Raw genomic sequence first — 27,863 nt, 5'->3', positions numbered from 1 at the left:
AGACCACAGCAAGGGGTACTAGGAAATATCATTATTTCAGTCATCCGTGTGTCCAACTAAAAGCCCAGGGTTCTACTATAGAATTTGGGAAGAACAGACATCGAAGGACAAAGAACAGTCACTGCCTAAAAATGGCAGTCTCTGCTATAAAAAATTGACAAGCGGAATTTTTTTTTTTTTTTTTTCCTGAGACGGAGTTTCGCTCTTGTTGCCCAGGCTGAAGTGCAATGGCACGGCACAATCTCGGCTCACTGCAACCTCCACCTCCTGGATTCAAGCAGTTGTCCTGCCTCAGCCTCCCAAGGAGTTGGGATTACAGGCGCCTGCCATCACGCCCGGCTTATTTTTGTATTTTTAAGTACAGACAAGGTTTCACCATGTTGGTCAGGCTGGTCTCGAACTCCTGACCTCAGGTGATCCACTCACCTCAGCCTCCCAAAGTGCTGGGATTACAGGCGTGAGCCACTGTGCCCGGCCTCACAGGTGGAATTTTTTTTTTTTTTTTTTTTTTGAGACAGTCTCGCTCTTGTCACCCAGGCTGGAGTGCAGTGGTACGATCTCAGCTCACTGCAACCTCTGCCTCTCGGGTTCAAGCAATTCTCCTGCCTCAGCCTCCCACGTAGCTGGGATTACAGGCGCCCACCACCACACCCAGCTAATTAGTGGAGACGGGGTTGTACCATGTTGGCCAGACTGGTCTTGAACTCCTGACCTCAAGTGATCCGCCCACCTCAGCCTTCCAAAGTGCTGGGATTGCAAGGCGTGAGCCACGACGCCTGGCCAAAGTGAGAAATTATTTTCTCCTGAGGATGGCCTGAGAGGCCTCGTGAAAGGCGCATTCGGACTGGACCCTGAGGAGCAAGGGACTTCCAGAGAGCTCTATGGCAGCGCAGCTCAAAGCGGAGGTCTCTGACAGCCCAGATGAGGACTTGTCAGAAAGAATCCAGTGCCACCTAGAGCCTGGAGGCTGCCAGGGCCGCTGTGCTCACCCGTTAAAGTGATGCCGCACCCTTTCTTTGGAAGTTTTCCATATTGGTTTTGTCTGTGTGACAATGTTTTTCTGTTTGTTTGTTTGTTGGTTTGTTTGTTTTTTGAGGCAGAGTCTCCCTCTGGCGTTCAGGCTGGAGTGCAATGGCATGATCTTCGCTCACTGCAATCTCCATCTCCTGGGTTCAAGAAATTCTCCTGCCTCAGCCTCCCAAGTAGCTGGGATTAGAGGTGCCCACCACCACGCCTGGCTAATTTTTGTACTTTTAGTAGAGATGGAGTTTCACCACGTTGGCCAGGCTGGTCCTGAACTCCTGACCTCAGGTAATCCACCCACCTTGGCCTCCCAAAGTGCTGGGATTACAGGCGTGAGCCACTGTGCCTGGCCTTCTGTTTGTTTTTTAAAAGACAGGAACCTTAGACAGGAGTTTGAGTTGTTTTCAAATATTCAATCTTGCAAAATAAAAAGTTCGCAACCCAGTGTCAGTCCCTAGATGGTGTCTGCAGAGGTTTACTGGTCCATCAAACCCCAAATCCAGAACTCCTCAGCCATGGGGTGGAGATGAGGGTCTTGGGTGTTCAAAGAACAACAGCTGGAGCTCAATGTCAGGTCACTTGGGGAGCACCTGGGACAGGACTAAGGAGGATGGTGAGCACATAGAGGGGTATGTGTGGGTCAGGAACTGTGCAGTGACTGAGTAGTGGAGGCCATGGCTGGGCCTGTGCTCCAAGAGGAAGGGAAAGGGATCTGGCAGGGCTGGCCAGGTTGGAGGTAGAGAGAGAATTTATGAGCAGAAGGACTGTGTGCTCAAGGAGGCATGCTGCTGTTTGCGGTGCCTTAGGCAGCTTGCCATAAGCATTTTCAACCAAGCCACACCACATAATGGCCAAAATTGTTCCCACTCATAACCACAGCTGTCTGCCTGGCTGAATGGAAGTGTAGAAAAATGACTCAAGTGCTAACTGCTTAACAAGCCTCTCGTGACAGACACATAACCACGTGGCAGCCCCATTTAAACCATTTCCTTGAACAGTAGCCATTGGCCCACCTTTCTCTCCTCTACCCTTTCTCCCCTTTTTCCTTTTATAATAACACTTTTTAGGAGGTTGGGTGGGATAGTTAACCCACTAGACACTTAAGCTTTACAACTGGGTTTTTGAGGTACATTGGTCTGAATTTAGGGGAAAACATTTCATGCTAAAGCCTGATTTTCTCAGTCCTGGTTGTTTGGTTGTTTTTTTGTTTTGTTTTGTTTTGTTTTTTGGTGTTGGGGGTGTTTTTTTTTGTTTTTTTTTTTTTCCTTTCTTGGAGACAGGGTCTCGCTCTGTCACCTAGGCTGGAGTGCAGTGGTGCGACTGTGGCTCACTGCAACCTCCGCCTCCTGGGTTGAAGCAATTCTCATGCCTCAGCCTCCCAAGTAGCTGGGATTACAGGTGCACGCCACAATGGCAGCTAGTTTTTGTATTTTTAGTAGAGATGGAATTTCACCACCTTGGCCAGGCTGGTCTTGAACTCCTGACCTCAGGTGATCCACCCGCTTTGGCCTCCCGAACTGCTGGGATTACAAGCGTGAGCCACCACGCGTGGCCAATCCTGGTTTTTTTCTGTAGACTTCTGTGGTCATCTGGCCTGACTTTAACGTCAGTTGTGATTATAACTGGGCTGTGCAATAATGGCTACTTCTGGCAAAATCAGTTTTTCTTCCTTGTGACCTGAAGTCAGGTGGCATTTCTGGATTCACAGTGCTGTATATTTGGGGGCTTTTTTGTCTGTAATTTACTCAGGGCTTTTGTCTTCTCTGAACTTGGAAGGTTTGTGCAATGTCTGTACACTCTGGCCGAGAGGTCTCAAGTTCTGTGCCTGCTTGAGGCTGAGGCCTCTCAGTTTCACTCCCTCTACAGGAGGACAAAGGATGTCAATGTGGCCTTTTTCATGTGAGGACCCACATGCTGGAGCAGCTTTGTCCAGCTTATAGAGGGGATGGGATGGACCTGGCCCTCCACTTTCCCCCATGCAGTGTCCTGGAATGCCAGGGCCACTGTCTATGGTCAGTCCTTCACCACCTAAAAGCAAGCTGATCCACAAGGCACCTGGCTGCATCCAGGCCTGTCATCTACGGCCACCATCCTCAGCTTCAGAGCTTATGATCTGGCTCAGGGAACACAGACAAGTACTGCCATCTACAGCCACCATCCTCAGCTTCAGAGCTTATGATCTGGCTTAGGGAACACAGACAAGTACACGGGCAGTTACAACCCAGAGGCAGAAATGTCTTGGAGGAAGTACAGGCAATGTAGGCAAACACCTTGACCCAAGTACAGGATTGAACCCAATCAAGCCTGTAGCACTGGACACACTGATTGACTCTGTCTTATCCACTACGTGGACATTTCAAGAATAATCTTCGTTCCTGGAACAAGTCCATGGAAGCTGTTGCCTAGCAATGTTTTTTATTTTTTAGAGACAGTCTTGCTATGTTGCCCAGGCTGGTCTCGAACTCCTGGGCTCAAGCGGTCCTCCTGCCTCGGCCTCCCAAAATTCTAGTATTATCAGCCTGAGCCCCTGTGCCCAGCTGCCTAGCAATTTTTTTTTTTTTTTTTTGAGACGGAGTTTCACTATCGTTGCCCAGGCTAGAGTGCAGTGGCGCAATCTCAGCTCACTGCAACCTCCAACTCCCGGGTTCAAGCGATTCTCCTGCCTCAGCCTCCCGAGTAGCTGGGACTGCAGGCGCGCACTACCATGCCCAGCTAATTTTTGTATTTTTAGTACAGACGGGGTTTCACCATGTTGGCCAGGATCGTCTTGATCTCTTGACCTCGTGATCCGCCCGCCTCCGCCTCCGCCTCCCACAGTGCTGGGATTACCGGGGTGAACCATCACGCCCAGGCACCTAGCAATTCTTTAGCGGTCTTGGTTTACCTCCCCTTTAGAAGGAGCTTAAAAGCAAGCAAGGCACATTGTTGCCTAGGCTTGAGGCTTGCTCTCACCCATAAACAACGCTGTTACTCTGCTCTGGGGACGACACAGGAAACGTTCCCCACCTCCAGGTGGAGGCTGCAAAACGTGTCAAAACCATCCCTGACATAATGTCAAGAGTAGCTTATACTAGTTTCATCTTCCTTCCTTGGCATTCGAACTGCGTGTGGAACAATTAGCATTTAATATTTGGTAATTAGCATGCTTAATGTGATTCTGAGAAGTTCTTTGACATTCTCATAAAAACAGCACATTCCCACCCACCCTTCAAAGAGCAAGACCCAGTTTGTCAAGAAAAATTGCGTGCCAGTCTTTTCTGGTGCTGAATATGTATGTTCTGGGCCTCTTCCTGGACACTGCTGGTAAATTTAGAAACTCGTTTAGAAAAGCACTTCTCTCGTATTCAACAGCCTATAGGCTCATGGCGCAGAATCTAAGGGAAAATGGCTAAATCCAGCTTGTGAATTCGCGGGCTGTGATGATTCTTTCCAAGTAAATAAAAACCCTCGGTTCGCCCCGACGAGCCACATAATCTGTTCAAATCCAACAAGGAACCAGATTTTGGACGCAAAGAAGGATACGTTCTACTCGCCCCGTGCAACAACGTAAACCACTGTAGCCACCCGCTCCCGTGTCTCCAGCCCAAAGGCTGACTCTCCAGTCCGCACGTCGCAGCGCTCTTGCCCTCCACACCAAGCCCGAGTCCCGCAGCCCCTCGAGGCCCTCGGTGCCTCCCAACCCCGAGAAGGAAGCGGGGGCCGGTGGTGCACCGCCCCGGCTGCTTGGGGCGGAGGAAGGACCCGGACCCCTTCCGCCGGCCCAGCCCGCCCCGGAACCCGACCCGGCCGCCCGGCCCCGGCCGGGCCCCACGTGGCCCCTGGAGCGGGCCGCACTACCCTGCTGCCGCCGACGGACGGCGCGCCACAGCCACTCTGCGCCGCTCTGCGAGCCGGTGGCCAATGAGCGCCAGGCGAGGCCGCTTTGCCATTGGCGAGCGCGGGCTCCGCCCCCGCCGGCAGGCCCCGCCCCGCGCCCGGGTTAGGTTGCGGCGCGGGCGGCGGGCGGAGCTGGTCCCGTTGTGCTGCGGCGCCGCGCGGCCTGCAGTCCCGGGCCCGCGCCCCGCGCCGCCCGCCCGCCCGCCATGGAGCCCGGCCCCGACGGCCCCGCCGCCTCCGGCCCCGCCGCCATCCGCGAGGGCTGGTTCCGCGAGACCTGCAGCCTGTGGCCCGGCCAGGCCCTGTCACTGCAGGTGGAGCAGCTGCTCCACCACCGGCGCTCGCGCTACCAGGACATCCTCGTCTTCCGCAGGTACCGCCGCTGCCCGCAGGCGCCTGCCCCCTAGGCTCAGCCCGGGCCGCCTGCTGCCCGCCTCACGGGCCTCTCCACGCCGGGACCCAAGCGGGCTGGACCTCGTCCTGCCCTGGCCCCCTCGCCACCCCTCACACCGCCTCCCTGGGCTGGGGCTGGGACTGCGGGCTGGCCTCTTGGGTGGGGGAGTCGGAGTCTGCGCCCCGCTCCACGTGTCAGCCCTCAGGACACGTCAGAGCCCGAGGAGACCCCGGGTCCCACCCCGGCCTCCACCCGGCGGCCCGCCTGCCGTTCCTCGCCACGTGTCACCATCGCTCCTCATCCCTGGGACCCCTAGGCGGGATGGGGAGACCCTCCTCACCCAGGGCGGCTTGGGGTACGTTTTCCCCACCCCAGAGAACCCAGGTCCCCGACTGTCACTCCGCCCGCAGTAAGACCTATGGCAACGTGCTGGTGTTGGACGGTGTCATCCAGTGCACGGAGAGAGACGAGTTCTCCTACCAGGAGATGATCGCCAACCTGCCTCTCTGCAGCCACCCCAACCCGCGAAAGGTACCCCAGTGTCCCCTGGAACAGTGCCGGACGAGGGGCGGCCCCAGGTGTGCTCCGGGCTCTTCCCAGATGCTGCCTGCATGGTTGTCAGAGAAAGTGCTAGCGAGGCCAGGGGCGTCCCGCGGAGGGGTGGGGGCCGACACTGACGCGGCCTCGGAATCCTAGGGCAGCCCTGGAAGGAACTTCCAGGAAAGGGGACACCGGCACGAAAGCGTTTCCGAGGGTAGAAAAAGATGAGGCCCGTGGGTCCGAGGGGTCAGGGGGTCTGCTTCAGGGGCCTGGGGGCTCCCAGTCCTGCCAGGGCCCCTGCCTTGACTGCCCCCTCCTCCCAGGTGCTGATCATCGGGGGCGGAGATGGAGGTGTCCTGCGGGAGGTGGTGAAGCACCCCTCCGTGGAGTCCGTGGTCCAGTGTGAGATCGACGAGGTGAGTGCCGGCGTAGAGCCAGGTTTGAGTCCTGGTTCTCCCAGCGGCCAGCTGTGCCCTGAAATGGCTGCACACCCCCGAGCAAGGCAGGTAGGGCCTGTTTCTCCATCTGGAAAACACCTGGTCGGGGAGGGTTCAGTAGGAAAACCAGATGGCAGAGGGCCTGGCAGGTGGTGAGGGCACCTGCGTGGCGAGCTCTTACTAAAACTGAGCTGATTTTTTTTTTTTTTTTTTTTTTGAGACAGAGTTTCGCTCTTGTTGCCCAGGCTGGAGTGTGATGGTGCGATCTCGGCTCACTGCAACCTCCACCTCCTGGGCTCAAGTAGTTCTTCTGCCTCAGCCTCCGGAGTAGCTGGGATTACAGACATGCGCTACCATGCCCGGCTAATTTTGTATTTTTAGTAGAGACAGGGTTTCTCCATGTTGGTCAGGCTGGTCTCGGACCTGGCGACCACAGGTGATCCGCCAGCCTCGTCCTCCCAAAGTACTGGGATTACAGGCGTGAGCCACCACGCCCAGCCGACTAAGCTGATTTTTAATCTGAGCCCCAGGCAGGGCCCCAAGACAGCTCAACTATTTGTACGTTACCCCTTACACTCAGTAGCTGCTCACTAAAATCATGCTACGTGCCAGGTGTTGCCCGGGTATGGGGACAGTGGTAGACGACAGATCAGTCCCTGCCCTCTAGGAGCTGATGTCCTAGTTAAAGGAGACATCAGATGGCCAGACGTGGTGGCTCACACCTGTAATCCCAGCACTTTGGGACGCCAAGGCGGGCAGATCACCTGAGGTCAGGAGTTCAAGAGCAGCCTGGCCAACCTGGTGAAACCCCATTTCTACTAAAAATACAAAAATTAGCCGGGCATGGTAGTGCATGTCTGTAAACCCAGCTACTAGGGAGGCTGAGGTGGAAGAATTACTTGAGCCCGGGAGGCGGAAGTTGCAATGAACCGAGATCTCGCCACTGCACTCCAGCCTGGGTGACAGAGGAAGAATCTGTCTCAAAAAAAACAAACAACAAAAATAGAGACATCAAAGGATGGTCTGATGAAGGCAAGACAGGGGCTGGGGGACAGGAGAAGGCAGGGTTCCTGTGAATGCATGGGGGGTGGTCAGGGCAGGCCTCCAGGAGGTGGCGTTTGAGCTGAGACCTCAGTGAAAAGCAGGTGGCCGTGTGCAGGGAGGGGGAGGTTCTCCTGGCCAGAGGTTGGAATTGCATCCTTCTAAAATAGGAAACAGGCCAAGCGCTGGTGGCTCACACCTGTAATCTCAGCACTCTGGGAGGCTGAGGCGGGCAGATCACAAGGTCTCTACTAAAAATAAAAAAAAAAAAAAAAAAATGGCCCAGCTTGGTGGCGTGCGCCTGTAATCCCAACTACTCGGGAGGCTGAGGCAGGAGGGTGCAGTGAGCTGAGATCGTGCCACTGCACTCCAGCCTGGGCAGCAGAGCAAGACTGTCTCGAAAAATAAATAAAATAGGAAGCGACAAGAAAGCCACTCAGATGGGGCGATTTGGTCTGGAAGGAGGGGGTAGGGATGGGAGAGAGGAGCCCAAGCCGCCGGCAGGAGCCAGCTCTCAAGGAGAAATGGAGGTACCAGAGTTCTCCCCGCTTTACACATTATAAACTGAGGTTCCCAAAAGGGGCCAGGTGTGGTGGCTCACAGCTGTAATCCTAGCACTTTTGGAGGCCGAGGTGGGAGGATCGAGGAGTTCGAGGCAACATAGGGAGACTCTATCTCTACCAAAAATTTAAAAAGTAGCCAAGTATGATTGAACACACTTGTCCCAGCTACTCAGGAGGCTGATGGGGGAGGATCACCTGAGCCCCGGAGGCCGAGGGTGTAGTGAGCCATGATCGATGCCACTGCACTCCAGCCTGGGCCACAAAGTGAGACCCTGTCTCAAAAAAAAATAATAAAAAAAAGGGAAGGGGTTGGCCAAGGCGGCTTGCCTGTGAGGCACTTGGAGAGTCCCACGTGGCTGTGCTGGCTCCAGGTCCCCCAGCCCCTTGGCCCAGACTGGTCCCTCCCATCCCCTCCAGGATGTCATCCAAGTCTCCAAGAAGTTCCTGCCAGGCATGGCCATTGGCTACTCTAGCTCGAAGCTGACCCTACATGTGGGTGACGGTTTTGAGTTCATGAAACAGAATCAGGATGCCTTCGACGTGATCATCACTGACTCCTCAGACCCCATGGGTAAGCAGTGGATGGGCCCCAGGGTTTTCTGGCAGCTGCAGGTCTGGAGGTCAGCCTCCCCCAGGCCTTCAGAGTAAAGGATAGAGCGGCCTCCCACCCCCCGAACTAGAGCTGTACTTTTCCCTTCTCATTTGTTACCTGCCCTCTGAAACATGGCTCAGGACAGTAGGCAGGAGCCAGGCGACTGCCCAGATTCACAAGCTGGTGACCAAGGAGAGTGGGGATCTGGCATTGGGACACTGAGGACCCTGTGTCCTCTTCAGCCTCCCCTCTGCTCTGAAGTGGTCAGCACTGGAGTGGGGGCAGGTTCTAGTCTTGAACGAAGGCCTAGGTTAGAGGTTCCTCTGCTGTGGTGCCAATGAGACTCCCCCAAGAATGGGATTCAGGTGTGGATCCCCCACAGACCTGGGTTCAGATCCTGGCTCTGGCCACCTGGTAGCTGTGTGGGTGACAGTGGCCCTGGAGGTCACAGCCAGACTGTTCAGTGTGTCTCCCTCTGTCTTCCCCAGGCCCCGCCGAAAGTCTCTTCAAGGAGTCCTATTACCAGCTCATGAAGACAGCCCTCAAGGAAGATGGTGTCCTCTGCTGCCAGGGTGAGCCACAGGCCTGGAGCACTGGGGCGGGGCGGGGTGGGGCAGGGCAGGCCCTGCCGGATGCTGATGCTTAGGGGCCCCCAGGCGAGTGCCAGTGGCTGCACCTGGACCTCATCAAGGAGATGCGGCAGTTCTGCCAGTCCCTGTTCCCCGTGGTGGCCTATGCCTACTGCACCATCCCCACCTACCCCAGCGGCCAGATCGGCTTCATGCTGTGCAGCAAGAACCCGGTGAGATGGGGGTGTCTGGGGGTGGGGGTTGGGGGGAAGGTGGGCATAAATAGAGATCCCTGCCCCTGCCGGGCGCGGTGGCTCACACCTGTAATCCCAGCACTTTGGGAGGCTGAGGCGGGCAGATCACAAGGTCAGGAGATCGAGACCATCTTGGCTAACACGGTGAAACCCCGTCTCTACTAAAAATACAAAAAAATTAGCCAGGCATGGCAGCGCGCGCCTGTAGTCCCAGCTGCTGGGGAGGCTGAGGCAGGAGAATGGCGTGAACCCGGGAGGCGGAGCTTGCAGTGAGCCGAGATTGCGCCACTACATTCCAGCCTGGGTAACAGAGGAAGATTCCGACTCAAAAAAAAAAAAAAACCCTCCCCAGGCCAGGTGCGGTGTCTCATGCCTGTAATTCCAGCATTTTGGGAGACCAAGGTGGGCGGATCACTTGAGGTCAGGAGTACAAGACCAGCCTGACCAACATGGAGAAACCCCATCACTACTCAAAATACAAAAAAAAAAAAAATTAGCCGGGCGTGGTGGCGCGTACCTGAGGCTGAGGCAGGAGAATCACTTGAACCTGGGAGACAGAGGTTGCAGTGAGCTGAGATGACGCCACTGCACTCCAGCGTGGCAACAGTGAGACTCCGTCTCAAAAAAAAAAAAAAAAAAGTGCCCCCCCTGATGTGCCCCTGGCCCGGTCCCCAGAGCACGAACTTCCAGGAGCCGGTGCAGCCGCTGACACAGCAGCAGGTGGCGCAGATGCAGCTGAAGTACTACAACTCCGACGTGCACCGCGCCGCCTTTGTGCTGCCCGAGTTTGCCCGCAAGGTGGGTGGCCTGCGGGGCTGGGTGGTGGGACCCAGGGACCCAGAGCGCCCTCCTGACTGGCCTCATGTCCCTCCAGGCCCTGAATGATGTGAGCTGAGCCCAGGCGCCACCACTGATGCCACCCAGGACCTCGGACCTTGGAGCCTGCGGGGTGCCTCGGCCCCTCCAGCCCCGGGCCGGACCTCCTGCTGGCTCTCGCCCACCAACCAAGTGTTACAAGCCCCAGAATGCTGCCCGGCCTGCCCTGCTGGGCGGACTGTCTGTGTGTCTGTCTCTCTGGCGTTCCACCTCCAAGCCTATACCAGCTGTGTACAGCGCCATCTCTCTGCCTTCTGTTGCCCCTCACTCACCAAACACGTGTATTTATAGCAAAGATTGGAGTCCTGTGTCTCCTGACCTTGGCTGGGCCCAGGCAGGGCCACATTCACCATTGGGTGCCTCTGGGGTGAGGGTCTGCAGAGGCCTTGCTGGCTGACCCCCAAGTGTCTGCTGCAGGGCTGAGGCTGCAGGCGGGCCATCGTGGATAGCCTGGGGCACAGAGGGTCACCGCAGTCGTCACGTGGGACCCAGAGCTGTCCTGGGAAGCTGACTTAGCTGTCCTTTTACCAAGCCCTTCACAAGGCCACTGGTGACAGCCCCCCAGGGCAGTGGGGTGGGTGAGATCAGGGTGGGGCTGCCCGGGAGCATTCTCAGAAAAATTGGGGACACTCACAGGTGTAAGTCAGGTCCCATCCAGGTACTCCAGGGCAAATACAGGAAGGGGTGGCGGGGCTGGTTACCTTCGGCCTTTTTAAGCACATCAGGAGCTTAACACTGGCCCAGTGACTGTGCCCTGACTCCACCCGGCATTCAGACTTGGGTTCAAATTCCCACCATGCCCCGCCCCCTATGTGGACAAATTGAGAAAGCAAGTGTGGGCACCCCACCAGGGACTGCGAGGACCAGGGCTGTCCCCTCTCCAAGGTGCTGAACTCCCGCCTTCCAGGACCCAACGGTGGTGGGAGGACAGGAAAGGAACCCTCTTTGCATGGGCCTGAGTTGCCAACCCCTTTCCCCACCCTGGGCAGGGGCTGGGCTAGCGGACGCATCAGGGAGGGAGGCCCCACTCCCAGCCGAGGCAGCCACCTTGGAGCCCTAACTCACCCGGGTATGTTTTCTGGGACACCAGAGTAAGGGGGATTCAGTTTCGCCATCAACTCTGGCTTCAGGCCAGTCATAGCCCTCCAGTCTCCACCTGCCCCCCACTCCCCACCCCTGTGAATTCACCAGACTGAGCACCTTCAGACCTTTGGCCCATCAGCAGATCTGACCTCAGGCTAACTTCTCCAGGCCACCCTGACCTTTCAAATCAGTCTGGGGAGCTGGCGTCTGCCCCCGGGCCTTCATAGTCTCAGGGAAGGCCCGAGAGGAGCAGCTGGCGTTCAGGTGGGTTGGCAGGGGCTATTTCTGGAGCCTGACAGGCCAGGCTGCAGCTGGGTGGGCCAGGCACTTTCATTTAACCTTCACAACCACCTGCCCGCCAGGCATTGTTCCTGCTGCACAGAGGCAAGGCGATGTGCCTAAGGACACACAGCCAATCAGCAGCCACCGTCCGACGCCACTCCACCCTGCTCACCCCAGGGTCTCCTGCATCTCAGGCCAGGCACTCTGGAGGTCCCGGCATGGATGGTCTCTCTGACATCTACTCCCTGGCCAAGATCCAGGCAGGGAATGCTGCCCCCTTAGAGGGACGATCCCGTGACCCCCTAAGTGTGAGGGCCTTTCCCCAAGGGCTCTGGAATCGGTCCAGATCTCAATCTCAACTCTGCCTCCCTCAGCTCTGTGACCTGCAGCCACGCAGGCCCTCTGCCGGTTACCCCGATGTCAGAGGGGGAGCACACCGTCCCTGTTAGGAAGCTTTGGTGAGAAGCACGTGCGACGCAGCCCTCAACCAGTGCCGGCCCGAGAGAAGGGAGGGTGGACCAGGTTGTGGAAACAGCCGGGGCCATCTGGGAGGCAGGAGATCTGGGAAGCAGCTGCAGGAAGATGAAGTTGCCGGCAGCGTAGATCCTGCGCCTCCCCAGCCTATAGTCTATACACACACCTGGCCGCCGCGAAGAGGCATGCACCAGGGATGGGGGCAAGCCTGAGCCCCACGACTGGGTGGGTGCGATGCAGCCCAGGATGATCTGCTGAAACAGAAACAGCCTTGATGAGGACACAACCTGGGTCCCCCAGCGTCCCAGAAATCTTTGGGCCACAAACAGGCCCAGTGTGGCATGGGGAATAACATCAATCCTATCTAGACTTTTCAAAATTTGATTTATGATAATTAGCCAGGCCCCTGGCTTAAGGATTCATGGGTCCGTGCGGCTTGTCAGAAGAAAAATCACAGTCCTCCTCCCGCAGCCCCTTTCCCTCTTGGAGCTGATTATTTGGGGTTTATCTTCTGTAGTAGAAGAAGAAATCGATTTGGTGTTTGTCCCCAGTTCCTGTCACGGAGCCGCTAACACCTTTGGAAATTCCTGATCGGTAGGCGTGTCTTGTCGTTCATTATATGCTCTGTTAGAGAACTCCCGAGTTTATGCTAATGCAGTGGTCTAGGGTAGAGCCCCGGGGGAGCCTCAGGGTGGGGCTGGTAAGTAAGACCTAAAGACTGAAGGGTTGGGACTTTCACCCCACCCAATGACTGCCAGGAAAGGATCAGGAGGGCTCTGGAGATGAAGCTGTACAAATTCATGAACAATGAGCGCAGCCCCGGGTGGTGGCTCATGCCTGTAATCCCAGCACATTGGGAGGCCGAGGTGCGCAGATCACTTGAGGCCAGGAGTGTTGGGAGGGCAACATGGCAAAACCTCGTCTCTACTAAAAACACAAGCATTATCCTGGTGTGGTGGCGCACGTCTATAACCCCAGCTACTCGGAAGGCTGAGGCAGGGGAATCACTTAAACCCAGGAAGCGGAAGTTGTGAAACTGCCTTTGCCAAATTATGACTGAGACAGTGAAAGAGACCTAACTTAGCCAACTCCATCTTGCTTCTAGCCTCCAAGCTGTCCTTCTTCATTCCTGGGCGTAGGCTGAACTAACGTTGGGAGAAATTTAGTTTATAGTTTAAACAAAGACGGTCACAGCCCTTTCTCAAAGCAGATGTTCTTGCCTGGGGACTAGACTGTCTTTGTAGGATTAACATTAGCCACAAGATTAGAAATTATGGTTTAGAGTCATGCAGCTGGAGGCTACGAGATTCCCACCCTCCCTAAACTGCTCCTAAGATCAGTGCTTGAGATATTTTGCAGATCCTGCCTTGATGGATCAGCCGGCACCACCCAGATGGATAAACGGGCTCATCTGATCTTGTGACCCCCACCCAGGACTCAGTGCAAGAAAACAGCTCTGACTCCGACTGCCTGTGATTTCATCTCTGACCAGTCAGCACTCCTGGCTCACTGGCTTCCCCCTACCCACCAGGTTATCCTTAAAAACTCTACTCCCCGAATGTTCGGGGAGACTGATTTGAGTAATAGTAAAATTCTGGTCTCCCGCACAGCCAGCTCTGCGTGAATTACTCTTTCTCTATTGCAATTCCCCTGTCTTGATGAATCAGCTCTGTCTAGACAGCTGGCAAGGTGAACCCCTTGGGCGGTTACAGTTACAGTGAGCCGAGATCGCGCCACTGCGCTCCAGCCTGGGTGACAGAGCAAGACTCTGTCTTAAAAAAAAAAAGGAAAAAAAAGAAAAAAACCAGTTAAAGAAAATAAAAGGAAAAAGCAAAAGAAAAAATAAAAGAATAATTCTGGACAGAAATAGAGTTATAATTTAGCATTGATCAGGCTGCACTCTGGCCCGCCTCCATGTAACTGACAGTCAGGTAGCACCGCGCCTGACCAGGCTTTTGTTTAAGAATTGCTTGAGTTAGGGCACTGTGGCTCATGCCTGTAATCCCAGCACTTTGGGAGGCCGAGGCGGGCGGATCACCTGAGGTCAGGAGTTCAAGACCAGCCTGACCAACATGGTGAAACGTGGTCTCTGCTAAAAGTACAAACATTAGCCGGGTGTGGTGGCGGGCACCTGTAAGCCCAGCTACTGGGGAGGCTGAGGCAAGAGAATTGCTTGAACTTGGGAGGCGGAGTAGCTGGGCTTACAGGCACGTCCATGCTGGTCTCAAACCCCTGACCTCAAGTGATCCACCCGCCTCGGGCTCCCAAAGTGCTGGGATTAAGGCTGGGCCCAGTGTCAAGAGTTCAAGACCAGCCTGACCAAATGGAGAAACCCCATCTCTACTAAAAATACAAAATTAGCCGGGTGTGGTGGTGCATGCCTGTAATCCCAGCTACTAGGGAGGCTGAGGCAGGAGAATCACTGGAACCCAGGAGGCGGAGGTTGCAGTGAGCCGAGATCGCGCTATTGCACTCCAGCCTGGGCAACGAGCAAAACTCCATCTCAAAAAAAAAAAAAAAAAACAAACCACCAAAGTGCTGGGATTCCAGGTGTGAGCCACCGCATCTGGCCTTATGATAACATTTTATCTCCTACACAGCTTCTTGTTTTCCCTGGAGGTTCTTTTTTTGTTTGTTTCTCATTTACTTAGTTTTCAATAAATTTATCACTAATTTGGCCCCAAATTTTTCACCAATTCTCTAATGCTCCTTGGACTCAACAGGTGTTCTGTCATCGTCCCCTTTCTGGAGAAGCTGTCCAGAGCCTTCTCACCGCCCCCAATGGAGTCCCTTAGTGAATGGCATCTCTTGGACCTTATGTCTTCCTATTGAAACCACCCTTGCAAAATTATGACATAACCGACCCCATCCTGCTCCTGACCTCCAAGCTGACCCTGCTCATTCCTGGGTGTAGGCCCAGCTGACCGGCGGAGGAATTTAGAGTTTAACTTGAAACAAGAATAATAATAGTTCTCCCTAAAACTACTCTCTTCCCTGTTCGGGGGCTGAACCACCACCTTGGTAAGATTTTTTTTTTTGAGACGGAGTCTTGCTCTGTCACCCAGGCTGGAGTGCAGTGGCGCGAGCTTGGCTCACTGCAAGCTCCGCCTCCCGGGTTCACGCCATTCTCCTGCCTCAGCCTCCCAAGTAGCTGGGACTACAGGTGCCCACCACCACACCCGGCTAATTTTGTATTTTTAGTAGAGACGGGCTTTCACCGTGTTAGCCAGGATGGTCTCAATCTCCTGACCTCGTGATCCACCCACCTCAGCCTCCCAAAGTGCAGGGATTACAGGTGTGAGCCACCGTGCCCGGCCTCCACCTTGGCAAGATTAATGAGCAGTCACAAGACAGGTGTAGTTTCTTTCTTTCTTTTTCTTTTCTTTTTTTTTTTAAGATGGAGTCTCGGCTGGACATGGTGGCTCACGCCTGTAATCCCAGCACTTTAGGAGGCTGAGGCTGGCGGATCACAAGGTCAGGAGTTCGAGACCAGCCTGGCCAACATGGTGAAACCCTGTCTCTACTAAAAATACAAAAATTAGCCTGGCGTGTTGACACATGCCTCTAATCCTAGCTACCTGGGAGGCTGAGGCAGCAGAATCGCTTGAATCCAGGAGGTGGATGCTGCAATGAGCTGAGATCGTACCACTGCCCTCCAGCCTGGGACAGAGCGAGACTCCGTCTATTTTTTTTTTTTTTTTTTTTTTTTTTTGAGATGGAGTCTCGCTGTGTCCCAGGCTGGAGTGCAGTAGCACAATCTTGGCTCATTGCAGCCTCCAGGTTCAAGCGATTCTCCTGCCTCAGCCTTCCAGGTAGCTGGGATTACAGGCACGCAACACCATGCCCAGCTAAGTTTTGTATTTTTAGTAGAGATGAGGTTTAACTCCAAAATAATTCTTTTTCCTGATCTTTTGCATGTGATTTACTATTTGATTTTTCTCTTTCTCTTTGTTTGTAAAACATAATTATTCTCTCCAGTGTTTTTAAATATGTGTAAAGCTGTATTAATATTTTTATCTCCTTTTCTGGGCACTTGGGGCACACTTTCGATCAGTATCACGTTCTTCAGTTCTGGGAAATTTTCTTGCATTATTATTATTGCTATGTATGTATTTTTTGAGACAAAATCTTACTCTGTCACCCAGGCTGGAGTTCAATGGCATGAACATGGCTCACTGCAACCTTGAGACCTCCTGGGCTCAAGCGATTGTCCCATCTCAGCCTGCCAAGTAGCTGGGACTAAAGGTGCATGCCACCATGCCTGGCTAATTTAAAAAAATTTTTTTTTTTTTTAGAGACAAGGTCTTGCTATGTTGCCCAAGCTGGTCTTGAACTCCCGGTCTCAGGCGACCCACCTGCCTCAGCCTCCCAGCCTCCTGGGATTATGGGCAGGAGTCACTACACCCAGCCAGAGTCCCGGTCTCTAAAAGAAAATAGGCCAGGCATGGTGGCTCACGCCTGTAATCCCAGCACTTTGGGAGGCTGAGGCGGGTGGATCACCTGTGGTTGGGAGTTCGAGACCAGCCTGACCAACATGGAGAAACTCCGTCTCTACTAAAAATACAAAACTAGCCGGACGTGGTGGCGCATGCCTGTAATCCCAGCTACTCGGGAGGCTGAGGCAGGAGAATTGCTCGAACCCCGGAGGCAGAGGTTTGGTGGCTCACACCTGTAATCCCAGCACTTTGCGAGGCTGAGGCAGGTGCATCGCTTTGGCTCAGGAGTTCAAGACCAGCCTGGGCAACACAGGGAGACCCCCATCTCTACAAAAAACAAAAACAAATATAAAGGGGATAAAAAAAAAAAAAAGACAAGACATGAATCCATGAGGACAGAGTGTGGAAGAGGAAGCAGCAGCCTCAAAGTTCTGGAAGCTGGAAGAACAGATAAACAGGTGTGAAATAACTGCCTGGAAAGCAACTTCTTTTTTTTTTTTTTTTTTTTTGAGGTGGAGTCTCACTCTGTCGTCCAGGCTGGAGTGCAGTGGTGCGATCTCGGATCACTGCAACCTCCGCCTCCCAGGCTCAAGCAATTCTCCTGCCTCAGCCTCCCGAGTAGCTGGGATTATAAGTGCGCGCTGCCACACCTGGATGATTTTTGTATTTTTAGTAGAGATGGGATTTCACCATGTTGGTCAGGCTGGTCTCAAACTCCCAACCTCGTGATCCACCCACCTTGGCCTCCCAAAGTGCTGGGATTACAGGTATAAGCCACCGAGCCCAGCCAAAAGCGACTTCTAAGCCTGCAAGGGAATCGGGAATTGGTGGCACCAGGTCCTTCTGACAGGGTTTAAGAAATTAGCCAGCCTGAGGCTGGGCACGGTGGCTCACACCTGTAATCCCAGCACTTTGGGAGGCTAAGGCAGGTGGATCACCTGAGGGCAGGAGTTCAAGACCAGCCTGACCAACATGGAGAAACCCCATCCCTACCAAAAATAAAAAATTAGCCAGGTGTGGTGGTGCTCGCCTGTAATCCCAGCTACTTGGGAGGCTGAGGTGGGAGGATTGCTTGAACACAGGAAGTAGAGGCTGCAGTGAGCTATGATTGCAGCACTGCACTGAAGCCGGGGCAACAGAACAAGATCCAAAAAAAAGGGAGGGGTGAGGGGCAGAGCCAGGATTTGTTTCCAGGCTGTTGTTACCTAGGTCCGACTCCTGGCTCCCAGAGCAGCCTGTCCTGCCTGCCTGGAACTCTGAGCAGGCTGGAGTCATGGAGTCGATTCCCAGAATCCCAGAGTCAGGGAGGCTGGGGGCAGGGGCAGGTCACTGGACAAACAGATCAAAGGTGAGACCAGCGTAGGGCTGCAGACCAGGCCAGGCCAGCTGGACGGGCACACCATGAGGTAGGTGGGCGCCCACAGCCTCCCTGCAGGGTGTGGGGTGGGAGCACAGGCCTGGGCCCTCACCGCCCCTGCCCTGCCCATAGGCTGCTGACCCTCCTGGGCCTTCTGTGTGGCTCGGTGGCCACCCCCTTGGGCCCGAAGTGGCCTGAACCTGTGTTCGGGCGCCTGGCATCCCCCGGCTTTCCAGGGGAGTATGCCAATGACCAGGAGCGGCGCTGGACCCTGACTGCACCCCCCGGCTACCGCCTGCGCCTCTACTTCACCCACTTCGACCTGGAGCTCTCCCACCTCTGCGAGTACGACTTCGTCAAGGTGCCGTCAGGACGGGAGGGCTGGGGTTTCTCAGGGTCGGGGGGTCCCCAAGGAGTAGCCAGGGTTCAGGGACACCTGGGAGCAGGGGCCAGGCTTGGCCAGGAGGGAGATCAGGCCTGGGTCTTGCCTTCACTCCCTGTGACACCTGACCCCACAGCTGAGCTCGGGGGCCAAGGTGCTGGCCACGCTGTGCGGGCAGGAGAGCACAGACACGGAGCGGGCCCCTGGCAAGGACACTTTCTACTCGCTGGGCTCCAGCCTGGACATTACCTTCCGCTCCGACTACTCCAACGAGAAGCCGTTCACGGGGTTCGAGGCCTTCTATGCAGCCGAGGGTGAGCCAAGAGGGGTCCTGCAACATCTCAGTCTGCGCAGCTGGCTGTGGGGGTAACTCTGTCTTAGGCCAGGCAGCCCTGCCTTCAGTTTCCCCACCTTTCCCAGGGCAGGGGAGAGGCCTCTGGCCTGACATCATCCACAATGCAAAGACCAAAACAGCCGTGACCTCCATTCACATGGGCTGAGTGCCAACTCTGAGCCAGGGATCTGAGGACAGCATCGCCTCAAGTGACGCAGGGACTGGCCGGGCGCAGCAGCTCACGCCTGTAATTCCAGCACTTTGGGAGGCCGAGGCTGGCTGATCATTTGAGGTCAGGAGTTCAAGGCCAGCCAGGGCAACACGGTGAAACTCTATCTCCACTAAAACTACAAAAATTAGCTGGGCGTGGTGGTGCGCACCTGGAATCCCAGCTACTAGGGAGGCTGAGGCAGGAGAATTGCTTGAACCTGCGAGGTGGAGGCTGCAGTGAACAGAGATTGCACCACTACACTCCAGCCTGGGCGACAGAGCTAGACTCCGTCTCAAAAAACAAAAAACAAAAACGACGCAGGGGCCGAGGGCCCCATTTACAGCTGACAAAGTGGGGCCCTGCCAGCGGGAGCGCTGCCAGGATGTTTGATTTCAGATCCCAGTCCCTGCAGAGACCAACTGTGTGACCTCTGGCAAGTGGCTCAATTTCTCTGCTCCTTAGGAAGCTGCTGCAAGGGTTCAGCGCTGTAGCCCCGCCCCCTGGGTTTGATTGACTCCCCTCATTAGCTGGGTGACCTCGGGCCGGACACTGAAACTCCCACTGGTTTAACAGAGGTGATGTTTGCATCTTTCTCCCAGCGCTGCTGGGAGCTTGCAGCGACCCTAGGCCTGTAAGGTGATTGGCCCGGCACCAGTCCCGCACCCTAGACAGGACGAGGCCTCCTCTGAGGTCCACTCTGAGGTCATGGATCTCCTGGGAGGAGTCCAGGCTGGATCCCGCCTCTTTCCCTCCTGACGGCCTGCCTGGCCCTGCCTCTCCCCCAGACATTGACGAGTGCCAGGTGGCCCCGGGAGAGGCGCCCACCTGCGACCACCACTGCCACAACCACCTGGGCGGTTTCTACTGCTCCTGCCGCGCAGGCTACGTCCTGCACCGTAACAAGCGCACCTGCTCAGGTGAGGGAGGCTGCCTGGGCCCCAACGCACCCTCTCCTGGGATACCCGGGGCTCCTCAGGGCCATTGCTGCTCTGCCCAGGGGTGCGGAGGGCCTGGGCCCTGGACACTGGGTGCTTCTAGGCCCTGCTGCCTCCAGCTCCCCTTCTCAGCCCTGCTTCCCCTCTCAGCAGCCAGGCTCATCAGTGCCACCCTGCCCTAGCGACTGAGACTAATTCTAACATCCCACTGTGTACCTGGTTCCACCTGGGCTCTGGGAACCCCTCATGTAGCCACGGGAGAGTCGGGGGTATCTAGCCCTCGTTCCTTGGGACCTGGTTCCCTGGTTCCCTGCACTGTGGGACGGGCCAGTGCTCTGGGGCGTGGGCAGCCCCACCTGCTGGCGCTGACCCTGCCTCCCCCGACTCGGTTTCTCCCTCTCGGTGTCTCTCCTTGCCTCTCTGATCTCTCTTCCAGAGCAGAGCCTCTAGCCTCCCCTGGAGCTCCGGCCTGCCCAGCAGGTCAGAAGCCAGAGCCAGCCTGCTGGCCTCAGCTCCGGGTTGGGCTGAGATGGCTGTGCCCCAACTCCCATTCACCCACCATGGACCCAATAATAAACCTGGCCCCACCCCACCTGCTGCCACGTGTCTCTGGGGTGGGAGGGTCGGGAGGCGGCGGGGTGCGCTCCTCTCTGCCTACCCTCCTCACAGCCTCATGAACCCCAGGTCTGTGGGAGCCTCCTCCATGGGGCCACAGGCTCCTTGGCCTCACCCCCCGTTTTGAAGATGGGGCACTGAGGCCCGGAGAGGGGCAAGGCCTCGCTCGAGTCCAGGTCCCCAGAGGCTGAGCCCAGAGTAATCTTGAACCACCCCCATTCAGGGTCTGGCCTGGAGGAGCCTGACCCACAGAGGAGACACCCTGGGAGATATTCATTGAGGGGTAATCTGGTCCCCCGCAAATCCAGGGGTGATTCCCACTGCCCCATAGGGCACAGCCACGTGGAAGAAGGCAGGCAATGTTGGGGCTCCTCACTTCCTAGAGGCCTCACAACTCAAATGCCCCCCACTGCAGCTGGGGGTGGGGTGGTGGTATGGGATGGGGACCAAGCCTTCCTTGAGGGATAGAGCCCAGCCCAACACCCCGCCCGTGGCAGCAGCATCAGCTGTTCCAGCGAGGAAGGAGAGCACCAGACTCAGTCATGATCACTGTTGCCTTGAACTTCCAGGAGCAGCCCCCAGGGCAGGGGTCAGACCTGGGGAAAGGGGGTGATGAGAGACCCTTCTTCCGGATGGTTCCTCCAGGAACCCAGGGGGCTGGCTGGTCTTGGCTGGGTTCGGGTAGGAGACCCCTGATGAATAAACTTGGGAATCACTGGGGTGGCTGTAAGGGAATTTAGGGGAGCTCCGAAGGGGCCCTTAGGCTCGAGGAGATGCTCCTCTCTTTTCCCGAATTCCCAGGGACCAAGGAGAGTGTCCCTTCTTCCTCCTTCCTGTGTGTCCATCCACCCCCGCCCCCCGCCCCGGCAGAGCCTGGTGGAACTCAGTGCTCTAGCCCCTACCCTGGGGTTGCGACTCTGGCTCAGGACACCACCACGCTCCCTGGGGGTGTGAGTGAGGGCCTGTGCGCTCCATCCCGAGTGCTGCCTGTTTCAGCTAAAGCCTCAAAGCAAGAGAAACCCCCTCTCTAAGCGGCCCCTCAGCCATCGGGTGGGTCGTTTGGTTTCTGGGTAGGCCTCAGGGGCTGGCCACCTGCAGGGCCCAGCCCAACCCAGGGATGCAGATGTCCCAGCCACATCCCTGTCCCAGTTTCCTGCTCCCCAAGGCATCCACCCTGCTGTTGGTGCGAGGGCTGATAGAGGGCACGCCAAGTCACTCCCCTGCCTTCCCTCCTTCCAGCCCTGTGCTCCGGCCAGGTCTTCACCCAGAGGTCTGGGGAGCTCAGCAGCCCTGAATACCCACGGCCGTATCCCAAACTCTCCAGTTGCACTTACAGCATCAGCCTGGAGGAGGGGTTCAGTGTCATTCTGGACTTTGTGGAGTCCTTCGATGTGGAGACACACCCTGAAACCCTGTGTCCCTACGACTTTCTCAAGGTCTGGCTCCTGGGCCCCTCATCTTGTCCCAGATCCTCCCCCTCAGCCCAGCTGCACCCCCTACTTCCTGCAGCATGGCCCCCACCACGTTCCCGTCACCCTCGGTGACCCCCACCTCTTCAGGTGCTCTATGGAGGTCCAAGGCTGGGGCCTTCGAGTACAAGTGTGGGAGGCAGAGTGGGGAGGGGCACCCCAATCCATGGCCTGGGTTGGCCTCATTGGCTGTCCCTGAAATGCTGAGGAGGTGGGTTACTTCCCTCCGGCCCAGGCCAGACCCAGGCAGCTGCTCCCCAGCTTTCATGAGCTTCTTTCTCAGATTCAAACAGACAGAGAAGAACATGGCCCATTCTGTGGGAAGACATTGCCCCACAGGATTGAAACAAAAAGCAACACGGTGACCATCACCTTTGTCACAGATGAATCAGGAGACCACACAGGCTGGAAGATCCACTACACGAGCACAGGTGAGCAAGTGGGTCTCAGATCTTGGCTGGAAGCGCAGAGCTGCCCTCTCTCCTGGAGTGTCAAGGAGCTGTAGAGTGTAGGGCTCCTTCTGGGCCAGGACTAGGAAGGGACACCAGGTTTAGTGGTGTCTGAGGTCTGAGGCAGCAGTCTTCTAAGGGGAAGCACCCGCTGTCCCTCCCTCCAGCCAGCCACCCAGCCATCCTTCCACCACTCATTCTTCCAACCACCCATTCACCCATCCACTCATCCTTTTACCCACCCATCCTTCTGTCCACTCATCCTTCTGTCCCCTCATCCTTCCAACCATTCATCAATCCACCCACCCATCCATCCTTTTGTCCACACAACCATCCACCCATTCTTCTACCTACCCATCCTATCCATCCATCCTTCTATTCAGCCATCCTTCTACCACCCATCCTTCGTCCGTTCATCCATCCATCCATCCATCCATCCATCCATCCATCCATCCATCCAATCCATCTATCCATTCACTCATCCTTCTAACTATCCATTCTTCTATCATCAGTCCATTCATCCTTCCAGCTATCCATCTATTCATTCACCTATCCTTCTACCCACCCATTCTTCTATTCATCCACCCATCCACCCATCCTTCTACCCACTCATCCTTCTATCCACCCATCCTTCTACATATCCTTCTATCCATCCATCCATACACCCATCGTCCTGTCTGTCCATCCATCCATCCATCCTTCCATCCATGTATCCATGCATCCATCCATTCCTTCCAGCTATCCATATAGCCACCCACCCATCCTTCTACCTACCAATCTTATCCATCCACCCATCCACTCATCCTGCCAGCCATCCATCTATCCAACCACCCATTGTTCTACCTACTTATCCATCCATGCACCCATCCATCCATTCATCCATCCACCCATTCTTCCACCTATCCATCCACTTATACTTCTACCTACCCATCCTTCCATCCATCCATCCATCCTTCTATCCAACCACCCATCCACCCATCCTTCCACCCACCCATCCTTCTATCAACCCATCCTTCTACTCATCTACCCATCCACCCATCCTTCTACCTACACATACTTCTATCCATCCATCCATCCATCCACCCATTCTTCCATCCATCCACCCACCCACCCATTCTTCACCCATCCATCCATCCATCCATTCACCCATCCATCCACTCACCCATACTTCCAGCCATCCATCTATCCATTCACTCATCCTTCTACCTACCCATCATTCCATCCATCCATCCATCCATCCATCCATCCATCCATCCACCATCCATCCACCCACCCACCCACTTATTCTTCTGTCTACTCATCCTTCTATTCATCTGTCCATCCACCCATTTGTCTATCTACACATCCTTCTATCTATCCACCCATCCACCCATCCTTCCAGCTGTCCATCTATGCACCCACCCATCCTTCTACCTACCAATCCATCCATCCATCCATCCATCCATCCATCCACTCATCCATCCATCCATCCATCCATCCATCTGCCAATTCTTCCAGACACCTATCTATCCATCCATCATCCTTCTACCTACCCATCCTTCCATTTATCCATCCATCCATCCTTCTATCCATCTACTCACCCATCCATCCTTCCATCCACTCATCCTTCTATCCACCCATCCTATTCATCTACCCATCTACCCTTCCTTCTACCAACACATCCTTCCATCCATCCATCCAATTCATCTACCCATCTACCCTTCCTTCTACCAACACATCCTTCCATCCATCCATCCATCCATCCATCCATCTATCCATCCTTCTATCCATCCACCTACCCACCCATCCTTCCACCCACCCATCCTTATATTCATCTACCCATCCACATATTCATCTACCCATCCACCCATCCTTCTGCCTACACATTCTTCTATCTATCCATCCATCCATCCATCCATCTTTCCAGCTATCTATCTACCCACCCATCCTTCTACTTACCAATCCTATCCATGCACCCATTCTTCTACCTACCTACCCATCCATCCATCCATCCATCCACCCACCCATTCTCCCAGTCATCCATCTGTCCACTCATTCTTCTACCTACCCATCTTTCTATCCATCCATCCATCCTTTATCCACCCACCCACCCATTCTTCTATTAATCTACCCATCCACCCAGTCTTCTACCTACACATCCATCCATCCATCCATCCATCTTTCCAGCTGTCCATCTATCCACCCACCCATTATTTTACCTACCAATCCTATCCATCCATCCATATACCCATCCATCCATCCTTTCAGCCATCCCTCTTTCCATTCACCCATTATTCTACCTACCAATCCTATCCATCCATCCACCCACCCATCCATTCATCCATCTACCCATTCTTTCAGCCATTCACCCACCCACCCTATCCATCCATCCGTTTTTTTTTTTTTTTTTTTAGACAAAGACTTGCTCTGTTGCCAGGCTGGAGTGCAGTGGCACAATCTCAGCTCACTGCAACCTCTGCCTCCTGGAACAAGCAAGTCTCCTGCCTCAGCCTCTAGAATAGCTGAGATTACAGGCATGCGCCACCATGCCCAGCTAATTTTTATATTTTTAGTAGAGGCAGAGTTTCACCATGTTGGACAGAATGGTCTTGATCTCTTGACCTCGTGATCCATCCGCCTTGGCCTCCCGAAGTGCTGGGATTACAGGCGTGAGCCACCGCGCCCAGCCCCATCCATCCATCCTTCTGTACATCTACCCACCCACCTACCCATCCTTCCATCCACCCATCCTTCTAGCCATCCATTCCTCTATTCATCCAACCATCCACCCATCCTTCTACCTACACATCCTTCTATGTATCCATCCATCCTTCCAACTGTCCATCTACCCACCCACCCATTCTTCTGCCTACCAATCCTATCCCTCATTCATCCACCCACCCATCCATTTACCCATCCGCCCATTCTTACAGCCATTCACCCACCCACCCATCCTATCCATCTATCCATCCATCTATCCATCCATCCATCCATCCATCCATCCATCCATCCTTCTATCCACCTACCTACCCACCCACCCATCCTTGCATCCACCCATCCTTCTATCTATCCATTCTTCTATTCATCCAACCATCCACCCGACCTTCTACCCACACATCCTTCTATCTATCCATCCATCCATCCTTCCAGCTATCCATCTATCCACCCACCCATCCTTCTACCTACCAATCCTATTCTTCCATCCATCCATGCATCCATTCATCCATCCACCCATCCACCTATATATCCACCCATATATCCATCCATCCATCCATCCATCATCCATCCATCCTTCCAGCCATCCATCTATCCATCCACCCATCCTTCTACCTACAGATCCCACCCATCCATCCATTCATCCATTCATTCTTTCATCCATCCTTCCAGCCATTCATCTGTCCATCCACCCATTCTTCTACCTTACTTATCTTTCTATCCAGCCAGCCATCTATCCATACACCCATCCTTCTGCCTACCAGTCCTTCTATCCACCAATCTATCCATCCATCCATCCATCCATCCATCCATCCATCCATCCATCCATCCACCATCCTTCCATCCACCCATCATTCCATCCTATGGATGTCTACTAGGGATATGTAACGTGGAAGCCACAGTTCTCACAGCCTCTGCTCAGTCCAGTAAGGGAACAGTCACAGAAACATAACCAGAGCCCTGTGGCAAGCACAGCCTAGAGCCAAGCACTGGGCAATGTGAGAGTCCAAAGGAGGACCTCACCAGACAGGGGCTAGGAGCTAGGAAGCTATCCTTGAATAGGAAATGCTGAGATTGAATTTAAAGGATAAGTGGGTGTTGGACAGAGTTCTAGGTGGCAGAAGAGTTCTAGGTGGCAGAAGAGTATGTGCAAAAGCCCAGAGGCTTCACTCTTCAGGGTGTGGAGCTGTGGAAGTTGAAGTGTGGGTATGAGTTGGGGCAGGGGAAAAAGGAGTTCTGACCATGGAGTGTTGCACCAGAGCCACAGCTTCAGCAGTTTGCAGCCAGGATCTACACACTCTGCCTCTCAGGACCACCCCCACTGGCCCTGGCTCTGCCCTCTGAGGCCCTGCCAGAACTTCCACCACCTCTTCGTCGTGACAGACACTCAAGTGCTAGAAGCCCTGGGCCTCCACAGGTCCACCAAGGCTGTCCCTGGAGATTGATTCCTCAAGGGGAGACTTTGGGACCTGCATGGGACTGAGAGCTTCCCCAGGCCACAGGCTGGGTCAGGGGCACCCAGGTGCACCCAGCTGCCCCAGCAGCTTGGCAGGGATCACTGGATGCTAGCAGGTGCTGGAGGGAGGAGAGGACTCCGAAACTGACCAGTGGGTTTTTAGGGGCAGCTGGGGAGCACTGAAGCCTTGGGGTGAGTGGAGGCCAGGGTTTGGGGGCCAGAGTGGAATGCAGCTCATGAGGGGAAGCCTGAGGCTCCCCAAATCAGCCTGGATCTTTAGTTTCAAGTCTGTCAGCCGGTTTTTCTCCCCATGCCATAACAGCTGTCCTATGGGGCTGCTGTGAGGGTTGATTACAGCTCCGCCAAGAACTAGCCTAGGTGCTTTGTATTTGATCTTCACAACAGCCCTGGGGCAACTATTATCGTCAACCGCCCCCCATCTTGCAGATGAAGAAACTGAGACTCAGAGAGGTTACACATAACCATGGGGAAATGGAGAGCTAGGATTTAAACACAGCTCCAGTCCCATGCAAGTCCCAAAGCCTCCCCTGAGCTCTTTTCCTCGGAGTTACACTCTCTCTTGGTTTTGAGCCATGGCTCTGAAGTTCCTGGCATGGAGCAGATGTTCTATTTGTGGGGACTGCACCATCTTCCCACATAACCCAGCTTTCTCACATACCTTTTGCTCAGTCCCAGGGAAAACAAGAAACCTTAATTTGCAAAAGCACCTGAGAGTTTAATCTTGCCTTTGGTTTTAAAGAACCCTACCCCACGTATGGTGAGCTCTCTTTACATGTTAAGTATTCTTTATAAACTAAGAACTTCAGATGGCTCGATTCAGTCTTGGCTGCTGTAGACCACATGAAAACCAACAAGCCTGGTTTCCTCTGCGCAGCGCAGCCTTGCCCTTATCCGATGGCGCCACCTAATGGCCACGTTTCACCTGTGCAAGCCAAATACATCCTGAAAGACAGCTTCTCCATCTTTTGCGAGACTGGCTATGAGCTTCTGCAAGTGAGTTAAAACAAAGTACACCACGATCAATGACGATTGCTTTGAAATGTAAACATATTTCTATCTGCAGATATGTGAAAGGAAAGTGAGAAAATCGTGTGTCAGCATGATTTCTTTTGTCTATCTTTAAATGATAAAAAGCCAAGAAATAAGTTTTCAGAGGACAAAAAGGATGGCTATGGAAAATGTGATTCTGAATCCCGCCCTTTTTTCTTTCTTTCTTTATACTTAACTTTAAATTTACATAAGCGAGCCCTTTGTTTTAAAGCTAGTTTGGAAAGCTGGTGATTAAAATGGGCAACTTGGCCAGGCGCGGTGGCTCACACCTGTATTCCCAGCACTTTGGGAGGCAGAGGCAGGCAGATCACTTGAGGCCAGGAGTTCAAGACCAGCCTGGCCAACGTGGTGAAACCCCGTCTCCACTAAAAATACAAAAATTAGATGAGGTAGTAGCCCCGTCTCCACTAAAAATACAAAAATTATTAGGTGGCGGGCGCCTGTAATCCC

At 54.6% G+C, this 27,863-nt stretch overlaps 2 protein-coding genes across 6 annotated transcripts in view, besides 7 other annotated features; both read left to right on the top strand.

Moving 5' to 3' along the window:
- Window positions 1,594–1,673: an enhancer, noted in NCBI's record as "active region_162". NCBI's record gives its function as "activates an Ori minimal core promoter by ATAC-STARR-seq in GM12878 lymphoblastoid cells {active_cell/tissue: GM12878}" and the evidence as "EXISTENCE:reporter gene assay evidence [ECO:0000049][PMID:35858748]".
- Window positions 4,582–5,111: a silencer, noted in NCBI's record as "silent region_260". NCBI's record gives its function as "represses an Ori minimal core promoter by ATAC-STARR-seq in GM12878 lymphoblastoid cells {active_cell/tissue: GM12878}" and the evidence as "EXISTENCE:reporter gene assay evidence [ECO:0000049][PMID:35858748]".
- On the top strand, window positions 5,031–10,460 carry SRM (spermidine synthase). The gene is made up of 8 exons (NM_003132.3): window positions 5,031–5,272; window positions 5,704–5,824; window positions 6,157–6,249; window positions 8,292–8,445; window positions 8,955–9,038; window positions 9,123–9,268; window positions 9,965–10,087; window positions 10,164–10,460. The coding sequence occupies exons 1-8, from the start codon at window positions 5,106–5,108 to the stop codon at window positions 10,182–10,184; spliced, it is 909 nt and encodes a 302-aa protein (NP_003123.2). The 5' UTR covers window positions 5,031–5,105; the 3' UTR covers window positions 10,185–10,460.
- Window positions 5,322–5,511: a silencer, noted in NCBI's record as "silent region_259". NCBI's record gives its function as "represses an Ori minimal core promoter by ATAC-STARR-seq in GM12878 lymphoblastoid cells {active_cell/tissue: GM12878}" and the evidence as "EXISTENCE:reporter gene assay evidence [ECO:0000049][PMID:35858748]".
- Window positions 11,635–11,884: an enhancer, noted in NCBI's record as "active region_161". NCBI's record gives its function as "activates an Ori minimal core promoter by ATAC-STARR-seq in GM12878 lymphoblastoid cells {active_cell/tissue: GM12878}" and the evidence as "EXISTENCE:reporter gene assay evidence [ECO:0000049][PMID:35858748]".
- Window positions 12,215–12,294: an enhancer, noted in NCBI's record as "active region_160". NCBI's record gives its function as "activates an Ori minimal core promoter by ATAC-STARR-seq in GM12878 lymphoblastoid cells {active_cell/tissue: GM12878}" and the evidence as "EXISTENCE:reporter gene assay evidence [ECO:0000049][PMID:35858748]".
- Window positions 12,902–12,981: an enhancer, noted in NCBI's record as "active region_159". NCBI's record gives its function as "activates an Ori minimal core promoter by ATAC-STARR-seq in GM12878 lymphoblastoid cells {active_cell/tissue: GM12878}" and the evidence as "EXISTENCE:reporter gene assay evidence [ECO:0000049][PMID:35858748]".
- Window positions 17,810–27,863, top strand: part of MASP2 (MBL associated serine protease 2) — a 20,717-nt gene continuing 10,663 nt past the window's right edge. For 2 of the 5 annotated variants that reach the window (XR_001736931.1, NM_006610.4), the window contains exons 1-7: window positions 17,810–17,846; window positions 17,930–18,158; window positions 18,316–18,493; window positions 19,510–19,641; window positions 21,514–21,710; window positions 22,027–22,174; window positions 27,238–27,356. Coding sequence is in view for 4 of the 5 variants with exons in the window: in NM_006610.4 (NP_006601.2) it covers window positions 17,842–17,846; window positions 17,930–18,158; window positions 18,316–18,493; window positions 19,510–19,641; window positions 21,514–21,710; window positions 22,027–22,174; window positions 27,238–27,356 (1,008 nt within the window). In the remaining variant the exon portion in view is untranslated. Of the gene's footprint in view, window positions 17,847–17,929; window positions 18,159–18,315; window positions 18,494–19,509; window positions 19,642–20,095; window positions 20,252–21,513; window positions 21,711–22,026; window positions 22,175–27,161; window positions 27,357–27,863 lie in introns of those variants that run through there. The other 3 variants (XM_017000097.1, XM_047439758.1, NM_139208.3) reach the window with 3 other exon arrangements.
- Window positions 18,473–19,305: an enhancer, noted in NCBI's record as "H3K4me1 hESC enhancer chr1:11105801-11106633 (GRCh37/hg19 assembly coordinates)". NCBI's record gives its function as "activates a minimal SCP1, AML or CMV promoter by ChIP-STARR-seq in naive H9 embryonic stem cells {active_cell/tissue: H9 hESC(naive)}" and the evidence as "EXISTENCE:reporter gene assay evidence [ECO:0000049][PMID:30033119]".

Source organism: Homo sapiens, chromosome 1 (assembly GCF_000001405.40).
Source record: "Homo sapiens chromosome 1, GRCh38.p14 Primary Assembly".
Classification (NCBI taxonomy): domain Eukaryota; kingdom Metazoa; phylum Chordata; class Mammalia; order Primates; family Hominidae; genus Homo; species Homo sapiens.
Note: the sequence above shows the minus strand (reverse complement) of the source record. Positions and strands in the feature narration are given on the sequence as shown.

Coding starts and splice junctions, on each gene's coding strand:
- SRM (NM_003132.3), top strand. CDS start 5,106: ATGGAGCCCGGCCCCGACGGCCCCGCCGCCTCCGGCCCCGCCGCCATC. Junction 8,446..8,954: donor TGACTCCTCAGACCCCATGG/GTAAGCAGTGGA, acceptor TGTCTTCCCCAG/GCCCCGCCGAAAGTCTCTTC. Junction 9,039..9,122: donor TGGTGTCCTCTGCTGCCAGG/GTGAGCCACAGG, acceptor AGGGGCCCCCAG/GCGAGTGCCAGTGGCTGCAC.